Raw genomic sequence first — 20872 nt, 5'->3', positions numbered from 1 at the left:
AGTTCCCCGATTCTCTCCTTCCCACAGCCTGTTCACCCCCCTCTCTCGCCCTCCCTCGCCTCTGAGCCTCCCCCGTCCCCGTTCTGCCCCTGCGCGGCGACCCCCTGCCCCCTCAGGAGACACAGCACCCCCTGCCCGACCTCACACCCCGTTGAGTCGCATTGATGTCCGACCTCCTCTGGATTGGGGCCCCCAACGCCAGACCCTCTCCCGACCCCCTACTCCCCGCCGAGGACCTCCCTCTGAGGCTGGGGGAGGAAAGCCCCCCAGGAGTCCCCAGCACTGGAGTCAGGAGCCCAGAACACAGGTGAGCAGAGAGGTGAGAAGGAGGGGACTACGTTTCCCATCAGGCCTCAGGGCTGTCTTTCCGTATTCTCAAGGCCATTGCTCCCTGGGTGTCATGGGTATTGTAGTCCATAATGATCTCAGCTGGGCTCAGGTGAGAGAGAGCTTGAACCTATCAGGTGTCCAGCTCCTCTCAGGTGTCTGGGCTGTCTTTCTAGGCTGGTCTTCGGCCATTGCTTTTTTTTTTTTTTTTTGAGACTGAGGTCTTGCTCTGTCGCCAAGGTTAGAGGGCAGTGGCACGATCTCGGCTCACTACAACCTCTGTCTCCCGGGTTCAAGCGATTCTCCTGCCTCAGCCTCCCGAGTAGCTAGGATTACAGGCACCTGCCACCACGTCCGGCTGATTTTTATATTTTTGGTAGAGATGAGGTTTCACCATGTTGACCAAGCTGGTCTCGAACTCCTGACCAGCTGACAGGTGATCTGCCCATCTCAGCCTCCCAAAGTGCTGGGATTACAGGCGTGAGCCACCGCGCCTGGCCCAGCCATTGCTCTTTAAGCATCATGGGGATTGTAGTCCTGGATACTCTGTGCCAAGACAGTGCGGTGAGAGGTTTGCATCTCCCTTGTGTCCCCAGTTCACCTTGCAAGTTGGTTGCCTGCTGTTTTGTCTGAGCATCATGGGACGGTAGCTCAGAATATCCACAGCTGACTGCAAGTCTGAGAATGAGAGTAGCAAATTCCATCATCTTGTGGGGCTGTTTTGCCAGGCTGGTGCATTTATTATCACCCTCTGTGTCCCCACAGTGGCACACAGCTGGAGAGCAGGTAGTTGAGGAAGTTGAGAGGGCCCAGTTCTGAACCTCAAAATATCTCCTAAAGCACTTCAATTATGGACATGCCCACTCTACTATTTGTCACTAAGACATGCCAGTTTCTTTTTTTTTTTAATTATTATTATTATTTTTTTATTGATCATTCTTGGGTGTTTCTCGCAGAGGGGGATTTGGCAGGGTCATAGGACAATAGTGGAGGGAAGGTCAGCAGATAAACAAGTGAACAAAGGTCTCTGGTTTTCCTAGGCAGAGGACCCTGCGGCCTTCCGCAGTGTTTGTGTCCCTGGGTACTTGAGATTAGGGAGTGGTGATGACTCTTAACGAGCATGCTGCCTTCAAGCATCTGTTTAACAAAGCACATCTTGCACTGCCCTTAATCCATTTAACCCTGAGTGGACACAGCACATGTTTCAGAGAGCACAGGGTTGGGGGTAAGGTCATAGATCAACAGGATCCCAAGGCAGAAGAATTTTTCTTAGTACAGAACAAAATGAAAAGTCTCCCAGACATGCCAGTTTCTAAACATCTCCATTTCAACGTTCCTCCCAGGCACACTCTGGCTCCCCCACTTATCTCCAGCTCCCCCCGCGGCCCCCTGGGACCCGGGCCTCCATGGTTTTATTGGTAGGTATCCTGGAGTACCCTAAATCTACCGGAGCCCCCTCCCTTCCTTTCTTCTCTATGAGGAATGTCATCTCTTGGCCTAGGGTGCCTAGAGAACTGTAGATATTTCAAAGACCCTGGGTAGGTATTAGATTCATGTGGTGGCTGTAACAAAGCGCATGGCCGAAAACAACAGAAATGGATTATCTTGCGGTTCTGGAGGCCAGAGGCCTGGAGTCAAGGGATTGGCAGGGCTATACTTCCACTGAAGGTTCTAAGGAGGAGCTTTTATTGACTCTCTCTTAGCTTCTGGTGGTTGCCAGCAATTCCTGAGGTTCTGTGGTTTTTTTTATGGCCACATCTTTGCCTCCATCATCCCATGATGATCTTCCTTTGTGTTTTTGTTGCTGTCCATCTCCTCCTATTAGGACACCCCATGACATCGTCGTAACTTAACTTAAATCCGCAAAAACCTCTTTCTTTCTTTCTTTCTCTTTCTTTTTCTTTTCTTTTCTTTCTTTCTTTCTTTTTTTTTTTTTTTTTTGAGACGGGGTCTCTCTCTGTCGCCCAGGCTGGAGTGCAGTGGTGCGATCTCGGCTCACTGCAAGCTCTGCCTCCCGGGTTCATGCCATTCTCCTGCCTCAGCCTCCTGAATAGCTGGGACTACAGGCGCCCGCCACCACGCCCGGCTAATTTTTTTGTATTTTTTTCTTTGTTTTTTTCTTGAGACAGAGTCTCGCTCTGTCGCCCAGGCTGGATTGCAGTGGCGCGATCTCGGTTCACTGCAACCTTCGCCTCCCTGGTTCAAGCAATTCTCCTGCCTCAACCTCCTGAATAGCTGGGATTACAGGCACGTGCCACCATGCCTGGATAATTTTTGTATTTTTAGTAGAGACGGGGTTTCACCATGTTGGTCAGGCTGGTCTCGAACTCCTAACCTCGTGATCCTCCCGCCTCGGCCTCCCAAAGTGCTGGGATTACAGGCGTAAGCCACTGCGCCTGGCCCAACTTTTTTGTATTTTTAGTAGAGATGGGGTTTCACTGTGTTAGCCAGGATGGTCTCGATCTCCTGACCTTGTGATCTGCCCGCCTCGGCCTCCCAAAGTGCTGGGATTACAGGCGTGAGCCACCGCGACTGGCCTTCCTTCCTTTCTTTCTTTCTTTCCCCCTTCCCCTTCCCCTTCCCCTCCCCTCCTCGTTCTTTCCTTTCCTTTCCTTTTTCTCTCTCTTTCTTTCTTTCCTTCTTTCCTTCCTTTTTCTTTTTTTTTTTTGAGAAGGAGTTTCACTCTTGTTGCCCAGGCTGGAGTGCAATGGCGTGATCTCGGCTCACCGCAACCTCCCCTCCTGGGTTCAAGCGATTCTCCTGCCTCAGCTGCCCGAGTAGCTGGGATTACAGGCACCCACCACCACGCCCTGCTAATTTTGTATTTTTAGTAAAGACAGGGTTTCTCCATGTTGGTCAGGCTGGTCTTGAACTCCCGACCTCAGGTGATCTGCCTGCCTCGGCCTCCCAAAATGCTGGGATTACAGGCATGAGCCACTGCGCCTGGCCACCTAGCTAACTTTTTCTACTTTTTGTAGAGACAGGGTTTTGCCATGTTACCCAGGCTGTTTTTTGTTTTTTTTTAAATTAAAAAAAATTATTTATTTTCTTGAGACAGAGTCTCACTCTGTCACCCAGGCTGGAGTGCAGTGGTGCAATCATGGCTCACTGCAGCCTCAGTCTCCTGGGCCCAAGCGATACTCCCACCTCAGCCTCCCTAGTAGCTGAGACTACAGGCATGTACCACCATGCTCAGCTTATTTTATTTATTTATTTATTTATTTATTTATTTATTTGAGACGAAATCTCACTCTGTCACCCGGGCTGGAGTGCAATGGCACGATCTCGGCTCGCTGCAACCTCTGCCTCCCGGGTTCAAGTGATTCTTCTTCCTCAGCCTCCCAAGTAGCTGGGATTACAGGCGCCCGTCACTACGCCTGGCTAAGTTTTGTATTTTTAGTAGAGACAGGGTATCACCATGTTGGTCAGGCTGGTCTCGAACTCCTGACCTCAGGTGATCCACCCGCCTCGGCCTCCCAAAGTGTTGGGATTACAGGCATGAGCCACCGCACCCGGCCCTATTTTTTTATTTTTATTTTTTTTGCAGACACAAGGTCTCCCTATGTTGCCCAGACTGGTCTTTAACTCCTGGGCTCAAGTGATCTTCCCTCTTTGGCCTCCCAAAGCTTTGGGATTACAGGAGTGAGTCACTGTGCCCTGCACTTTGTTTTATTCTTAGTCATAAATAAAATGTCTAAATTTCTCCATTAATTATAATATTTGCCATGGCTGCTTGATCAAGAGCCCATTATTGATCTTTCTGAAGCCAAGAATGTGGAAGTTGGTCTACTGAAATTTGCTAATGCTTAGAAGGAAGCTGATAAGGAGAGGGGTCGCTAGGCTTGGTGGTTCATGCCTGTAATCCCAGGACTTCAGGAGGCCAAGGCAGGAGGATCATTTGAGATCAGGAGTTCAAGACTGGTCTGGGTGACATAGTGAGACCCCAGCCCTGAAAACAAACAAACAAACAACCTTAGCTGGCACCGGTGGCTGGCATCTGTTGTCCCACCTACTTGGGAGGCTGAGGTGGGAGGATCCTTTGAGCCTAAGAGTTCAAGGCTGCAGTGAGCCATGATCATGCCACTGCACCCCAGCCTGGGTGACAGACCTTGACTCAAAAAAAAAAAAAAAAAAAAAAAAAAAGGCCAGGCATGATATGATGGTGCATGCCTATAATCCCAGCACTTTGGGAGGCCGAGGCAGGAGGATTGCTTGAGCCCAGGAGTTTGAGATCAGCCTGGGCAACATGGCAAAACCCCATCGCTACCAAAACCAACAGCAACAAAAATTTTAAAACTACAAAAATTAGCCGGGCATGATGTGTGCGCCTGTGGTCCCAGCTACTCAGGAGACTGAAGTGGGAGGATTGCTTGAGCCCAGGAGGTTGAGCCTGCAGCGAACCATGATCGCACGACTGCACACCAGCTTGGGTGACAGAGCAAGACCCTATCTCTAAATAAATAAATAAATAAATAGTGCAGTACCTATCAGTAGAGACAGGGCGTGGCTCAGCACTGAGTTACAAGAATGACCAGCCTGTCCCCTTTGACCCCTGACTTTTTTCCTTCTCTTCAGCCGGGTCCTCCCCTGGAGTCAACTTTCCACCAAAGCTTGGAGACAGATGTAAGTTGTCACTGATCTAATCCTTGCTGAGTTCCCAGAGTTGGGGAGAGAATGTTCTAGATGATGGGAGGAGCGGCAGGGGAAGAGCCAGATCTGGACCATCAGTAGCTCCCGCTCTCCTTTCTCCAGACGCTGCTGACCAAGTTGTGCGGGCAGGACCGGCTTCTGCGGAGGCTGCAGGAGGAGATAGACCAGAAGCAGGAGGAGAAGGTGCGGGGCCCTGGGCCAAGGACAGGGCGCCTGGCCTCTCTGCCTGCCCTGAGCCCTTCCTGAATGCGGAAGTCAGGATGCTGACTGGACGTCCAGGACGTGAAAGGACATCTTTTCTTTCTTCTTGGGGCTAGGCATGGCTTCTGAAGTCTAACCACCTTCTGTCTTGGTGCAGGAGCAACTAGAAGCAGCTCTGGAGTTGACCCGGCAACAGCTGGGCCAAGCCACCAGGGAGGCTGGGGCTCCCGGGAGGGCCTGGGGTCGCCAGCGCCTCTTGCAGGACCGGCTGGTCAGTGTGAGGGCCACCCTCTGTCACTTGACTCAGGTGAGCACCTGGGAAGGGGCCTGCCCTCCTAGGAGGCCCCAGGACTATGCAAGTCGTTACGAAGGGGACCTGCCCCAGAGGGCTCATAGGAAGATCGTTCTTCAGAAGTCTACACTCCAAATTTTATTATTTTTTCTCTCTCCTCATTGTCTTGTAACCACTCTAATTTTTTTTTTTTTGGGGGGGACAGAGTCTTGCTCTGTCGCCCAGGCTGGAGTACAGTGGTGCCATCTCAGCTCACTGCAACCTCAGCCTCCTGAGTAACTGGGATTACAGGCATGTGCCACCACACCTGGCTAATTTTTGTATTTTTAGTAGAGATGGGGTTTTGCCATGTTGGCCAGGCTGGTCTCGAACTCCTAACCTCAGGTGATCAGCCTGCCTCAGCCTCCCAAAGTGCTGGGATTACAGGCATGAGCCACTGCGCCCGGCCTTAAGTAACTCTGAGAATTATTATATGTGATACGTGAAAATGAGTGAATGAATGAATGAATGAATGAATGAATATTTAACACTTAAGGTACTTGGTACTTGGTAAAGCAATACTTAAGTGTCAGCTATAATTATTATCTGTAAAATGGAGACAATAATAGTAACTACCTCATAGGAATTAAATGAGAGTTGAGAACAATGCCTAGCACATGATCAGTGCCCAATAAGTGTTAGCTGATATTATCATTGTTATTGTTGGTATTGGCAAGGAAGTTTCTGCTGCCCCAGGGTGAGTGGGTGCTGTGGTTATTTTTTTTGAGACGGATTCTTGCTCTGTTGCTCAGGCTGGAGTGCAGCGCCTGGATCCAGGCTCACTGCAACTTCTGTCTCCCTGGTTCAAGTGATCCTCCTGCCTCAGCCTCCCGAATACCTGGGATTACAGGCCCTCGCCACCATTCCTGGCTAATTTTTGTATTTTTAGTAGGGACGGGGTTTCACCATGTTGGCCAGGGTGGTCTCGAACTCCTGACCTCAAGTGATCCGCCCGCCTTGGCCTCCCAAATAGCTGGGATTAAAGGCCTGAACCACCGTGTCTGGCTGGGTGCTGTGGTCTTTTAACTGTCTAATGAAATTCATTAGATCTGTAGACTCTGCTACCTAGGAGAGAGCAGAAGTAATCCTGGGGATTCAGGGAATGCTGTTATTTGTCTACACTAGCAGTGTACTGGAATTGCAGGTTCCATACAGACTTTGGGGTTCCCAGTAGTCCAAGCAAAGAGGCCCATGGGAATTGTAGTCCATACGCCTGCAGGGCTCCAGGGACCAAACTCCCTTATCTCCTCCTTAGCTGACAAATGATGGGGTGGGGAAGGATCTGGTGGGAGAGGGACCTAACCTATGTCTCCCCCTTTATGCAACCTGAGGAGCGAGAGAGGGTTTGGGACACGTACAGTGGCCTGGAGCAGGAGCTGGGCACCTTAAGAGAGACGCTGGAGTACCTGCTGCACCTTGGTTCTCCCCAGGTAAATCGCTGCTTGGAGACCCCAAGACCCACCCCCAACTCCAAGTTCTGCCTGGAAATCCTTTTAGCATTTAATCTTCGCCCACAGAATCGAGGCCCCGCCCAGTTGACCCTTAGCCTCCTTTCTGTCCTTTCAATCTAAGCCCCTTATTTTAGTTAAGACCATGCCCTTTGGGGTTTTTTTTTAAATTCTCTCATTAAAATTTTAATTAAGCTTCAATTTTGAATGCCGTTTTCTCGAGCTGTTATCTAATTTCTGCTGTAAAGTTGTTTATTTGTTTGTTTTTAAGACAGTCTCACTCTGTCGCCCAGGCTGGAGTGCAGTAGCGCAATCTTGGCGCACTGCAACCTCTGCCTTCCAGGTTCAAGTGATTCTCCCACCTCAGCCTCCCAAGTAGCTAGGATTTCAGGCACATGCCACCATGCCCAGCTACTTTTTATATTTTTAGTAGAGACATGTTGGTCAGGCTGGTCTTGAACTCCTGACCTCAAGTGATCTGCCTGCCACGGCCTCCCAAAGTGCTGGGATTGCAAGCATGAGCCACTGCGCCAGACCTAATTTCTGCTGTAAAGTTGGCTATAATTTTACAACATTTTTTTTTGAGGGGGAGGGGGACAGAGTTTTACTCTTGTTGCCCGGGCTGGAGTGCAATGGCACGATCTCAGCTCACCACAACCTCTGCCTCCCGGGCTCAAGCGATTCACCCACCTCAGCCTCCTGAGTAACTGGGATTACAGGTGCCCGCCACCACGCCCAGCTAATTTTGTATTTTTAGTAGAGACGGGGTTTCTCTATGTTGGTCAGGCTGGTCTTGAATTCCCGACCTCAGGTGATCTGCCTGCCTCGGCCTCCCAAAGTGCTGGGATTACAGGCGTGAGCCACTGCGCCCGGCCTACAACATTCTTTTTAAAAAATGTATTGTGGGTACATAGCAGATGAATATATTTATGAAGTGCATAAGATATTTTGGTACAGGCATGCAATGTATAATAATCCCATCATGGAAAATGGGGTGTCCATCCCCTCAAGCATTTATCTTTTGTGTTACAAACAATCCATTATACTCTTTTATTTTTTATTTTTATTTTTGAGACAGTCTCGCTTTATTGCCCAGGCTGGAGTGCAGTAGCACAATCTTGGCTCACTGCAACCTCCGCCTCCCAGGTTCAAACGATTCTCCTCCCTCAGCCTCCCAAGTACCTGGGATTACAGATGACCACCACCATGCCCGGTTAATTTTTCTATTTTCGGTAGAGAGGGGGGTTTCACCATGTTGGTCAGGCTGGTCTCGAACTCCTGACCTCAGGTGATCCACCCACCTCGGCCTCCCAAAGTTCTGGGATTACCGGTGTGAGCCACTGTGCCTGGCCTACTCTTTTATTTTTATTTTATTTATTTTATTATATTTTTTGAGATAGAGTCTCGTTCTGTTGCCCAGACCGGAGTGCAATGGTGCAATCTCGGTTCACCGCAACATCCGCCTCCCAGGTTCAAGCAATTCTCCTGCCTCAGCCTCCCGAGTAGCTGGGATTACAGGCATGCACCACCATGTCTGGCTAATTTTGTAGTTTTATGAGAGACGGGGTTTCTCCATGTTGGTCCGGCTGGTCTTGAACTCCTGACCTCAGGTGATCCACCCGCCTCAGCTTCCCAAAGTGCTGAGATTACAGGCGTGAGCCACCGCACACAGCCCTTCTATTTTTTATTTTCTTTTTTTGTGTGTGTGAGACATAGTCTTGCTCTGTCGCCAGGCTGGAGTGCAGTGGCACAATCTCGACTCACTGCAACCTCCACCTCCCAGGCTCAAGCAATTCTCCTGCCGCAGCTTCCCCAGTAGCTGAGACTACAGGTGTGTGCCACCATGCCCAGCTAATTTTTGTATTTTTAGTAGAGATGGGGTTTCACCATGTTGGCCAGGATGGTCTAGATCTCTTGACCTCATGATCCACCCGCCTCGGCCTCCCAAAGTGCTGGGATTACAGGCGTGAGTCACGGCGCCTGGCCGCCCTCTTATTTATTTATGAGATGGAGTCTTGCTCTGTTGCCCAGGCTGGAGTGCAGTGGTGTGATCTCGGCTCACTGCAACCTCTGCCTCCCGGGTTCAAGTGATTCTCCTGCCTCAGCCTCTAGCTGGGACTACAGGCGTGTGCCACCACGCCTGGCTAATTTTTGTATTTTTAGTAGAGACGGGGTTTCACCATGTTGATTAGGGTGGTCTTGAACTCCTGACCTTCTGATCCGCCTGCCTCGGCCTCCCAAAGTGCTGGGATTATAGGCATGAGCTACTGCGCCCGGCCAATGCCTTTCGTTTTAATACCTACTTCAGATCCAGAGCTGCTCTCTCCCCTGGTTCTAAATCTCTCCTCTTGTTGAAGCCATGCTCTCACCAGCAAAACTCCAACCCTCAGCCTTTTTTCCATCTTGCAAGTTCATCTCTTGCATCCTGCATCCTGACTTTTGCTGTTAAATTTATCCTCTGGAGTTCCAGTTCTGAACCCATTCCTTTAGTGCAAGCTCTGCTCCTAAAATATAAACCTCATTGCTTAGCCTCAGACCTGCTTTTTCACTCTAAATCTAGCCATCAAGTTCTAAATCATGTATCTTTAAAAACATTGACACGGCCGGGCGTGTTGGCTCACGCCTGTAGTCCCAGCACTTTGGGAGGCCAAGGCAGGTGGATCACTTGAGGTCAGGAGTTGGAGACCAATCTGACGAACATGGTGAAACCCTGTCTCTACTAAAAATAGAAAAATTTGCTGGGTGTGCTGGTGCACGCCTGTAGTCCCAGCTACTCAGGAGGCTGAGGCAGGAGAATCGCTTGAACCCGGGAGGCGGAGGTTGCAGTGAGCCGAGATCGTGACACTGCACTCCAGCCTGGGTGATAGGGAGAGACTCCATCTTAAAAAACAACAACAACAACCCCAAAAAACAAAAAACCATTGATGCCTAGTTTTAAATGCATCTTCTCACTCTAAGCTGCTCCCACTAGATCTACAATCCAGACTTGGCAAGAACAGACCCATGCCAGCTGCAGTGGCTCACACCTGTAATCCCAGCACTTTAGGAGGATGAGGCAGGTGGATCACCTGAGCCCAGGAGTTTGAGGCTAGCCTGGGCAACATGGTGAAACTCTGTCTCTACTAAAAATAAAAGTGAAAAAATTAGCTGGGCCTGGTTGTGCACGCCTGTGGTCCCAGTTACTCAGGAGGCTGAGGTGGAAGGATCGCTTAAGCCCAAGAGTTCGAGGATGCAGTGAGCTATGATCAAGCCATTGCACGCCAGCCTGGGTGACAGAGGGAGGGACTGTCTCCAAAAACAAACAAAAAGAACAGACTCTCATATTCGTATGGTCACCTATTTATAATAGATGTAACACAGTAAAACAACATAGAAAGAAAAGACAGTTTTTTCTTTTTCTTTTTTTTTTTTTTGAGACAGTGTCTCGCTCTGTTGCACAGGCTGGAGTGCAGTGGCACGATCTCAGCTCACTGCAACCTCCACCTCCTGGGTTCAAGCAATTCTCCTGCCTCAGCCTCCCGAGTGGCTGGGATCACAGGCATGCACCACCACCCCCGGCTAATTTTTTTTTGTATTTTTAGTAGACACGAGGGTTCACCATGTTGGCCAGGCTGGTCTTGAACTTCTGACCTCTGGTGATCCACCCGCCTCGGCTTCCCAAAATGCTGGGATTACAGGTGTGAGCCACCACGCCTGGCCAAAAGACAGTTTTTTTTTTTTTTTTGAGACGGAGTCTCGCTCTGTCGCCCAGGCTGGAGTGCAGTGGCGGGATCTCGGCTCACTGCAAGCTCCGCCTCCCGGGTTCACGCCATTCTCCTGCCTCAGCCTCCCAAGTAGCTGGGACTACAGGTGCCCGCCACTACGCCCGGCTAATTTTTTGTATTTTTAGTAGAGACGGGGTTTCACCGTTTTAGCCGGGATGGTCTCGATCTCCTGACCTCGTGATCCGCCCGCCTCGGCCTCCCAAAGTGCTGGGATTACAGGCGTGAGCCACCGCGCCCAGCCAAGACAGTTTTTTTCAATTCAACTGGATAACCACATGGGAAAAAAAATAAATCCCAACTCCATAAATATAGCCCAGCTGATTTCAGACCTTTGCAGGGGCCTATTAGCTGAAACCCTCCTGCGTTTTCCCACCTTTAAGTAACAAATTCCTTTCCTCCCTGCAGGACAGAGTGTCTGCTCAGCAGCAGCTGTGGATGGTGGAAGACACGCTGGCAGGTCTGGGTGGCCCCCAGAAACCGCCCCCACACACTGAGCCTGACTCCCCATCTCCCGTGCTCCAGGGCGAGGAGTCCTCAGAGAGGGAGGTAAGACGCACATAATTCCTCCCCACCCCAAGCTTCATGTCCCACCTGTCCTTGACTCAGTCTATTCCCCACCCACCTCTTTAATTCTTCCTTGATCAGCTAACCCACCTGGTACAAGTGTCCTAACCTCTGGAAGCCTTTGTTTTCTTTTTTTTCGGGGGTTTTTTTGAGACGTAGTCTCACTCTGTCATCCAGGCTGGAGTCCAGTGGTGCAATCTTGGCTCACTGCAACCTCCACCTCCTGGGTTCAAGTGGTTCTCCTGCCTCAGCCTCCGAAGTAGCTGTGATTACAGGTGCCCACAACCAAGCCTGGCTAAGTTTTGTATTTTTAGTAGAAACGGAGTTTCACCTTGTTGGCCAGGCTGGTCATGTACTCCTGGCCTTGAGTAATCCGCCTGCCTCGGCCTCCCAAAGTGTTGGGATTACAGGCGTGAGCCACCTCGCCCAACCAGGATTTTTTTTTTAAGATGGGATCTCATTCTGTCGCCCAGGCTGGACTGCAGTGGTGTGATCATGGCTCACTGCAGCCTCGAATTCTTGGGCTCAAGCAATCCTCCTGCTTCAGCTTCCTGAGTAGCTGGGACCGCAGGCTCGTGCCATCATGCCTGGCTAATTTTTGGTTGTTTGTTTATTGTGGAGATGGAACCTCACTTTGCTGCCAAGTCTGGTCTTAAACTCCTGGCTTAAAATGATCCTCCAGTCTCAGTATTCCAAAACGCCAGGATTACAGGAGTGAGGCACCGCACCCAGCCCTAATATGATTATATATATAATGCACTTAGACACCAGGCACTGTTCTAAGTGCCACATATATATGGACTCAATCCTAATATCAAAAAGTAAAATGTTAATGAGCCAGGCACAGTGGTGCACACCTGTAATCCCAGCTACTTGGGAGACTGAGGCAGGAGAATCGCTTGAACCAGGGAGGCAGAGGTTGCAGTAAGCTGAACCAAGATTGCACCACTGTACTCCAGCCTGGCTGAAAGAGCGAGACTGTGTCTCAAATAAAATAAAATATGGCTCAGAGAGGTAAAGCAGCTTGCCGAAGGTCACACAGCTAATAAATGGCACAGTTGGGATTTGAAGCCAGGACATCTGGCTCCTGGTTTACAGTTTTTTTGTTTTTTTGGAGACAGGGTCTTGCTCTGTCACCCAGGCTGGAGTGCAGTGGTGCCATCACAGCTCACTGGAACCTCCATCTCTGGGGCTTAAGTGATTCTCTCACCTCAGCTTCCCAAGTAGCTAGGACTACAGGTGTCTGCCACCATGCCCGGCGAATTCTTTAACTTTTTTGTAGAGACGGGGTCTCCCTATGTTGCCTAGGCTGGTCTTGACCTCCTGGTCTCAAGTGATCCTCCCATCTCGGCCTCCTAAAATGCTGGGATTACAGACGTGAACCCACTGTGCCCAGCCTAAAACGTTTGTTTTGTTTTGCTTTGTTTTTTGAGATGGAGTCTCTCTCTGTTGCTCAGGCTGGAGTGCAAGTGGCTCGATCTTGGCTCACTGCAAGCTCTACCTCCCGGGTTCACACCATTCTCCTGCCTCAGCCTCCCGAGTAGCTGGGACTACAGGCACCTGCCACCACGCCCGGCTAATTTTTTTTTTGTATTTTTAGTAGAGACGGGGTTTCACCGTTTTAGCCAGGATGGTCTCCTGACCTTGTGATCCGCCTGCCTCGGCCTCCCAAAGTACTGGGATTACAGGCATGAGCCACCGCGCCCAGCCTTAAAAAGTTTTTAAGGGAAGGGGTCTTGCTATGTTGCCCAGCTGGTGTCTAGCTCCTGGCCTCAAGTGAGCCTCCTACCTTGGCCTCTCAAAGGGCTGAGATTACAAGCACAAGCCTCCATGCTCAGATCTGGTTTATAGTCTTTTTTTTTTTTTTTTTTGAGGCAGAGTCTTGCTCTGCCGCCCAGGCTGGAGTGCAGTGGTGCGATCTCGGCTCACTGCAACCTCCAACTCCCGAGTTCAAGCGATTCTTCTGCCTCAGCCTCCTAAGTAGCTGGGATTACAGGCGCCTGCCACCACGCCCAGCTAATTTTTGTATTTTTAGTAGAGACGGGTTTTCACTACGTTGGACTAAGCTGGTCTGGAACTCCTCAGGTGGTCTGCCTGCCTCGGCCTCCCAAAGCGCTGGGATTACAGGTGTGAGCCACTGCGCCCGGCCTGGTTTATGGTCTGAATCCTATTCAGACTGTATTCCAATGCCTAAATGCTTGCAACATGGTAATAATAATAATTATTATAATGATCATCATTATCCCCCTTTTCTAATCCCCGCAGAGCCTGCCAGAGTCCTTGGAACTGAGCTCCCCTAGGTCCCCCGAGACTGACTGGGGGCGGCCTCCTGGAGGCGACAAAGACCTCGCCAGCCCTCACTTAGGTGAGCATCCTGGTTGGGTGGGACTTTACGGAAATTCCCGTCCTCACCAAGTCCCGTTCTGTCTTTCCAGGTCTTGGGTCTCCGAGGGTCTCCCGGGCTTCCAGCCCTGAGGGTCGCCACCTCCCTTCCCCACAGCTAGGAACCAAGGTAAGCTGTAGGTCCATCCTGTAATCCTTGCATCTGACCATCAGGGACCCCCACACTTCTGGGAAACAGCTAGGAGTAGAGCGTTCTAAGGCCATACTCAGAGCAGAGAGAGCACTGCTTGTTAAGAGCATTGAGATTGATTTTTGTCTCTGTCGCTTCTAAGCTGTGTGACTTTGGGTCAGTTATTAAACCTCTCTGTGCCTTCATTTTTTCTTCTCTAAAATGGGGCTAATAGCAGAACCTACCACCTAGAGCTGACATCAAGATGAAAACTAGATGAATGAGGCCAGGCGCGGTGGCTCACGCCTGTAATCCCAGCACTTTGTCAGGAGTTCCAGACCAGCCTGGCTAACATGGTGAAACCCCGTCTCTACTAAAAGTACAAAAATTAGCCAGGCGTGGTGGTGGGCGCCTGTAATCCCAGCCACTCGGGAGGCTGAGGCAGGAGAATCGCTTGAACTCGGGAGGCAGAGGTTGCAGTGAGCTGAGATCACACCATTGCACTCCAGCTTGTGCGACAAGAGCAAAAATCTGTCTCAAAAAAAAAAAAAAAAAAAAAAAAAAAGACACCCTGAGTGGAGCAGAATGCTGATCTCATGTGGCCCTGGAGTTCAGAAACTGGTTGACTTCTAGTGGCAGGAATGTTTAGGAATTGGTTGACTTTAAGCTGTGGAAGCTCTGTGCTCTGTGTCTGTTGCTGATTGGCTGGTTTTCAGAAGCATGGAGCTATCAATGATTGGCTGATTTTCAGAAGTACGGATCCATCACTGATTGGCCAGCCCTCAGAAGCATGTGACCATCACTGATTGGCTGATTTTCAGAAGCTTGGCTCCATCACTGATTGGCTGGCTTTCAGAAGTCTTTGGGGTACCTGTTGGGATTACTTGATCAAATAGATTTAAAAGCACTTCTTGGGGCTGGGAACCGTGGCTCGTACCTGTAATCCCAGCACTTTGGGAGGCCGAGGCAGGCAGATCACTTGAGGTCAGGAGTTTGAGACCAGATTGACCAACATGGTGAAAACCCTGTCTCTACAAAAATACAAAAATTATCCGAGCGTGATGGCGGGTGCCTGTAATCCCAGCTACTTGGGAGGCTGAGGCAGGAGAATCGCTTGAACCCAGGAGGCAGAGGTGGCAAAGACCCAAGATTGCACCGTTGCACTCCAGCCTGGGCAACAGAGCGAGACTCTGTCTCGAAAATAATAATAATAATAATAATAATAATAATAATAATAATAATAATAATAAAATAAATAAGGCATTTCTTGGCCAGTGGTATTGGCTCATGCCTGTAATCCCAACACTTTGAGAGGCCAAGGTAGGTGGATCAGTTGAGTCCAGGCGTTCAAGAGCAGCCTGGCTAACGTAGCAAGACCCATCTCTACAAAAAAATAATAAAAAGTTAGCTGTGGCCAGGTGCAGTGGCTCACACCTGTAATCCCAGCACTTTGGGATGCCGAGGCGGGTGGATCACCTGAGGTCAGGAGTTCAAGAGCACCCTGGCCAACGTGGCAAAAACCCATCTCTACTAAAAATACAAAAATTAGCCGGGTGTAGCAGCACGCACCTGTAATCCCAGCTACTTAGGAGGCTGAGACAGGAGAATCGCTTGAACCTGGGTGGCTGAGATTGCAGTGAGCTGATACTGCGCCACTGCACTCCAGCCTGGGTGACAGAGCAAGACTCCATCTCAAAAAATAAAAAAATAAAAAATAAAAAGTTAGCTGTGCGTGGTGGTGCCCACCTGTGGTCCCAGCTGCTTGGGAGGTTGAGACGTGAGGATTGCTTGAGTCCAGGAGGTCAAGCCTGCACTGAGCCATGATTGCACCACTGCACTCCATCCTGGGCAACAGAGGGAAACCATGTCTTTAAAAAAAAAAAAGAAAAAAGACCGCGTGCGGTGGCTAACGCCTGTAATCCCAGCACTTTGGGAGGCCAAGGTAGGCGGATCACAAGGTCAGGAGTTCGAAACCAGCCTGACCAACATAGTGTAACCCCGTCTCTACTAAAAATACAAAAAAATTAGCCAGGCGTGGTGGCACATGCCTGTAATCCCAGCTACTCGGGAGGCTGAGGCAGGAGAATCGCTTGAACCTGGGAGGCAGAGGTTGCAGTGAGCCAAGATCGTGCCATTGCACTCCAGCCTGGGCAATAAGAGTGAAACTCCATCTCAAAAATAAAATAAAATAAAATAAAATAATTTAAAAAAAAGAAGGCATTTCTTGTGCTTACTTGTTATCATGGATACAAAAGCAATCGAGCCTTTCCTAGGAAGAGAGGAGAGGCACTTTTTGATTCTCAGTGGTGTGTCATGGGCATGGATGATTGGAGCCTGCTGGGAACATCACTTATCTTGGGACATGCTCCTCCCTCACCCCAACCGGGTGGTTTCAGGGGCTGCCAAGGTCCAGAGCACAGGGGTGGTCTAGTGAGTTCCAGGGATTTCAGGGTTTAGCAAAGAAAAAGCTATGACCACCAGATGGCAGTAGCACACAGGAGCTTTATTTGGTGGACACTGACAGATTTGTCTATGGGGGAGTCACACCCAGTGTGAGACCCTCCAGAGGTTACTGTGTGAGGGTGAGGACCACTGCACAGGAAGGGAGGAAGGCAAGGGAGCTCCCAAGAGAAAGGGACTGGAGAAGGGGCTTACTTCTGGGTGATGCCAGCCACCAGCATGTGGAGGTTTCTCTGGATCAGAGAGGTCCAAAGAGCAGCAGGGGCTTGGGGCTCATCTTATCTATGGGTAGCAGATGTTGGGCACAGTTTCAGGGTATACAAAGCAGGCAGACTGCATAGCTAAAAATACCTGCTTATTAAGACTATGTTTAAAACAATTGGATGTGTAGAAATCTGAGTGTGCTGCTACCAAGCTTTTAGGCCAATGGTCTGGCCTGCTGTGAAGAAATTAACAACATTGGCTGGGCGCGGTGGCTCACGCCTGTAATCCCAGCACTTTGGGAGGCCGAGGCAGGTGGATCACGAGATCAGGAGTTCAAGACCAGCCTGGCCAAGATGGTGAAACCCTGTCTGTACTAAAAATACAAAAAAATTAGCTGGGCGTGGTGGCGGGTGCCACCTACTCAATCCCAGCTACTTGAGAGGCCGAGGCAGAGAAGTGCTTGAACCCAGGAGGCGGAGGTTGCAGTGAGCAGAGATTGCGCCACTGCACTCCAGCCTAGGTGACAAAGCGAGACTCTGTCTCAAAAAAAAAAAAAAAAAAAGAAAATAAATTAACAACATAGGGTAATATACAGTGGCCACTGGCCATCATTTATATAAACAGGACTCAGGATTGGTCAAAGCAGAGGAAACTGCAGGGACTGGTTCTACAATAAGCACAGATCCATGCTATCTCACTGGGATGTTTAACTGGAAGCTTCAGCAATGAGTGCTCTCTCTGTCTTTACTTTTTACTTTTAGATACGGGATCTTGCCCTGTCACCCAGAGTGAGGTGCAGTGGCACGATCATAGCTCCCTGAAGCCTTGAACTCCTGGGCTTAAGTGATCCCCCTGCCTCAGCCTCTTGAGTAGCTGACAGGCATCCACCACCACATCTAACAAGTTTATTTTTTGTAGAGATGGGGTCTTGCTATGTTGCCCAGGCTGGTCTCAAACTCTTGGCCGCAAGTGATCCTCCCACCTCAGCCTCCCAAAGCTCTGGGATTACAGTCACCCACCACTGCACCCGGCCTTCTCCCTCTCTCCTTGTTTAAGCAACATATATATATATATATATTTGAGACAGAGTCTTGCTCTGTTGTGCAGCTGGAGTGCAGTGGCGTGATCTCGGCTCACTGCAACCTCCACCTCTGGGGTTCAAACAATTCTCCTGCCTCAGCCTCCTGAGTAATTAGGATTACAGGTGCCTGCCACCACGCCCAGCTAATTTTTGTATTTTTAGTAGAGATGGTATTTCGCCAAGTTGGCCAGGCTGGTCTTCAACTCCTGACCTCAAGTGATCCTCTCTACTCAGCCTCCCAAAAGTGCTGGGATTACACGAGCCACTGTGCCTGGCCTAAAGGTTGGGTCTTGGGACGTTTCTCGCCTCCCTAGGCCCCGGTGGCCCGGCCCCGGATGAGTGCCCAGGAGCAGCTGGAGCGGATGCGCAGAAACCAGGAATGTGGACGGCCCTTCCCTCGCCCGACCTCCCCCCGGCTTCTCACCCTGGGAAGGACACTGTCCCCAGCCAGACGCCAGCCTGACGTGGAGCAAAGGGTGAGGGGAGGAGGGCTGGGGCTGGGCGGTGGGGTGGTAGTAGGTCCTCTTCGCCTACTTTGAGTCCCTTTCTGTAAAATGGAGATAATCACTACCTCCTTCCTCCAAACTGGATTTCCGAATTTACCCCAGTTTGTACTTGTGCTAGAGTCAGCTTCCTCGCCTGGATAGTGGTGGGTGGACAGGAGTGGCAGTGAGGGGAGGACAGTGGGTGGGGGCGGGGGTCACACATCTGGATTGGAAGCCTAGTTTTTCTTCTCAGTTGCTATGTGTTGTCAATAGCAAGAAAGCAAAAAAGAAAATGTAAGCCAGGAAGAAAATTGATTTTATTCATGCCCTTTCAATAGGAAGAACGTCCCAGATCTGAACATCAGAGTGTCTCAGATATCTCAGGATGGTTTCCCCTTAGACGTTTTCCTTTTTCGGCCGGGCATGGTGGCTCACGCCTGTAATCCCAGCAATTTGGGAGGCCAAGGAGGGCGGATCACCTGAGGTCGGGAGTTCAAGACCAGCCTGACCAACATGGAGAAACCCCGTCTCTACTAAAAATAGAAAATTAGCTGGGCATGGTAGCACATGTCTGTAATCCCAGCTCCTTGGGAGGCTGAGGCAGGAGAATCGCTTGAACCCAGGAGGTGGAGGTTGTGGTGAGCTAAGATTTTGCCATTGCACTCCAGCTTGAGCAACAAGAGTGAAACTCTGTCTCAAAAAAAAAAAAAAAAAAGATGTTTTCTTTTTTTTTCAGGGACAAGGTCGCCCAGGCTAGAGTGCAGTGGTGCGATCTCCACTCACTGCAACCTCCACCTCCTGGGTTCAAGTGATTTTCATGCCTCAGCCTCCCGAGTAGCTAGGACTACAGGGATATGCCACTACATCCAGCCAATTTTTGTATTTTTAGTAGAGACAGATTTTTACCACGTTGGCCAGGCTGGTGTCGAGCTCCTGAGCTCAAGTGATCCTCCTGCCTTGGAAGGAGGTGCTAAGAATATAGGTGTGAGCTACTGCACCTAACCTCCCCTTAGATTTTTTTTTTCTTTTTTTGAGACAGAGTCTCCCTTTGTTGCCCATGATGGAGTATAGTGGTGGAATCTCGACTCACTGCGACCCCTGTCTCCCAGGTTCAAACGATTCTCCTGCCTTAGCCTCCCAAGTGGCTGGGATTACAGGCCCATGCCACCACACCCTGCTAATTTTTTTTTTTTTGTATTTTTAGTAGAGACGGGGTTTACACCATATTGACCAGGCTGTTCTTAAACTCCTGACCTCAAGTGATCTGCTCACCTCGGCCTCCCAAAGTGCTGGGATTACAGGTGTGAGCCACCAGACCCGGCCCCTTAGACTTTTATAGAAAGGATTTAGACAAGTCACAGGTGGTGGTGGTGGAGGTGGGATTTCTGAACTCATGTGCTGCTTTATAGGAACACAGGTAAAGTTAAACATTGTCAGTCACTGGGTGCTATGGCTCACCCCTGTAATACCAGTACTTTGGGAGGCCGAGGCAGGAGTAAGAGACCAGCCTGGGCAACATAGCAAGACTCTGTCTCTACTAAAAATAAAAATAAAAATAATTAGCCAGGCATGGTGGTGCGAGCCTGTAGTTCTATTTACTCAGGAGGCTGAAGCAGGATTAGTCCAAGCCTGGGAAGTCGAGACTACAGTGAGTTATGATCACACCACTGTACTCCATCCTTTCTAAAAAATGAATAAATAAAATAAATTAATTTTTAAAAATTCAGTGCCTACAGAAGCATAGGAAAAACAAAACAAAACATTGCCAGTGTTTTTGGGCAATTTCATTCTCTTTTGGAGCCCCCTTCACTTCACCCTCAAAATGAGAACGTGGGGCTTCCAGGTGAGGAGTTCTAATGCCCCAATTCCTTTCCAGCCTGTCGTAGGACACTCGGGAGCCCAGAAATGGCTCAGAAGCTCTGGGTCCTGGAGTAGGTAAGGAACTGGAGGGCGTATCAAGGGAGCAGGAAAAAAAAATTTGCAAAAGCAAAGGGGAGTAGCATTATTATTAAAGTCTCCTGAATATGGAAGTACAAATCGCAACCCTTCTAGAGATGCTTAAGTTCCCGGGGCATCTGCAACAAAACCAGAAAGCCCTAGATCCGTAGTGATATCTTTAGTTCCTCAAATTCCCTTGGTCAATAGCAGATCCTACTTCTGCATCAAGGAAATTGGGTGATAGTGACGCGCGAGTGGACTACAAATCCCGTAATGCATGTGGGCGGTATGAGGGCGGTGCCATGTTTAACGTATTTTAGAGACACGTGCTAGGAACTACAACTCCCAGAAAGGCACGTGCGGTACCCGGGTCCCCACTGTGCCAGCTGTTTATTTTTTATTTTTATTTTTATTTTTTACTTTTTTTTTTTTTTTGAGACGGAGTCTTGCTCTGTCTCCCAGGCTGGAGTGCAATGGCGTGATCTCAGTTCACTGCAACCTCCGCCTTCTGGGTTCAAATGATTCTCCTTCCTCAGCCTCCCTAGTAGCTGGAATTACAGGCACCCACCACCATGCCTGGCTAACTTTTTTGTATTTTTTGGTAGAGACTGGGTTTCACCATGTTGGCCAGGGTGGTCTCGAACTCCTGACCTCAAGTGATCCGCCCGCCTCGGCCTCCCAAGGTGCTGGGATTACAGGGATAAGCTGTCGCACCTGGCCTGCTTTTTTTTTTTTTTTTTTAATTTTTAATTTTTGTTGGTACATACTAGGTATACATATATTTACGAGATAATTGAGATGTTTTGATACAGGCAGGCAATGTGAAATAAGCACATCATCGGGAATAGGGTATCCATCCCCTTTCAAGGATTTACCCTTTGATGTATAAACAATCTAGTTACACCCT

The 20872-nt window shown here is 49.6% G+C and overlaps 1 protein-coding gene across 12 annotated transcripts in view, besides 2 other annotated features; it reads left to right on the top strand.

The window, feature by feature from the left end:
- The window catches only part of PLEKHA4 (pleckstrin homology domain containing A4), a 31521-nt gene that overhangs the window by 9451 nt on the left and 1198 nt on the right, over positions 1-20872 (top strand). For 4 of the 12 annotated variants that reach the window (XM_011527158.4, NM_001438306.1, XM_011527159.2 and 1 more), the window contains 11 exons: positions 28-319; positions 1671-1745; positions 4903-4950; positions 5080-5160; positions 5336-5485; positions 6841-6939; positions 11127-11267; positions 13551-13650; positions 13721-13797; positions 17857-18018; positions 19904-19962. In XM_011527158.4, the coding sequence (XP_011525460.1) occupies positions 28-319; positions 1671-1745; positions 4903-4950; positions 5080-5160; positions 5336-5485; positions 6841-6939; positions 11127-11267; positions 13551-13650; positions 13721-13797; positions 17857-18018; positions 19904-19962 (1284 nt within the window). The remainder of the gene's footprint in view (positions 1-27; positions 320-1670; positions 1746-4902; positions 4951-5079; positions 5161-5335; positions 5486-6840; positions 6940-11126; positions 11268-13550; positions 13651-13720; positions 13798-17856; positions 18019-19903; positions 19963-20872) is intronic. The other 8 variants (NM_001438308.1, NM_020904.3, XM_047439136.1 and 5 more) reach the window with 6 other exon arrangements.
- Positions 16141-16435: a silencer, noted in NCBI's record as "tiled region #3566; K562 Repressive non-DNase unmatched - State 5:Enh". NCBI's record gives its function as "represses a minimal TATA promoter and a strong SV40 promoter by Sharpr-MPRA in K562 cells {active_cell/tissue: K562}" and the evidence as "EXISTENCE:reporter gene assay evidence [ECO:0000049][PMID:27701403]".
- Positions 20109-20309: a silencer, noted in NCBI's record as "peak3541 fragment used in MPRA reporter construct". NCBI's record gives its function as "represses an SCP1 promoter by STARR-seq MPRAs in K562 erythroleukemia cells {active_cell/tissue: K562}" and the evidence as "EXISTENCE:reporter gene assay evidence [ECO:0000049][PMID:32103011]".

Source organism: Homo sapiens, chromosome 19, assembly GCF_000001405.40.
Source record: "Homo sapiens chromosome 19, GRCh38.p14 Primary Assembly".
Classification (NCBI taxonomy): domain Eukaryota; kingdom Metazoa; phylum Chordata; class Mammalia; order Primates; family Hominidae; genus Homo; species Homo sapiens.
Note: the sequence above shows the minus strand (reverse complement) of the source record. Positions and strands in the feature narration are given on the sequence as shown.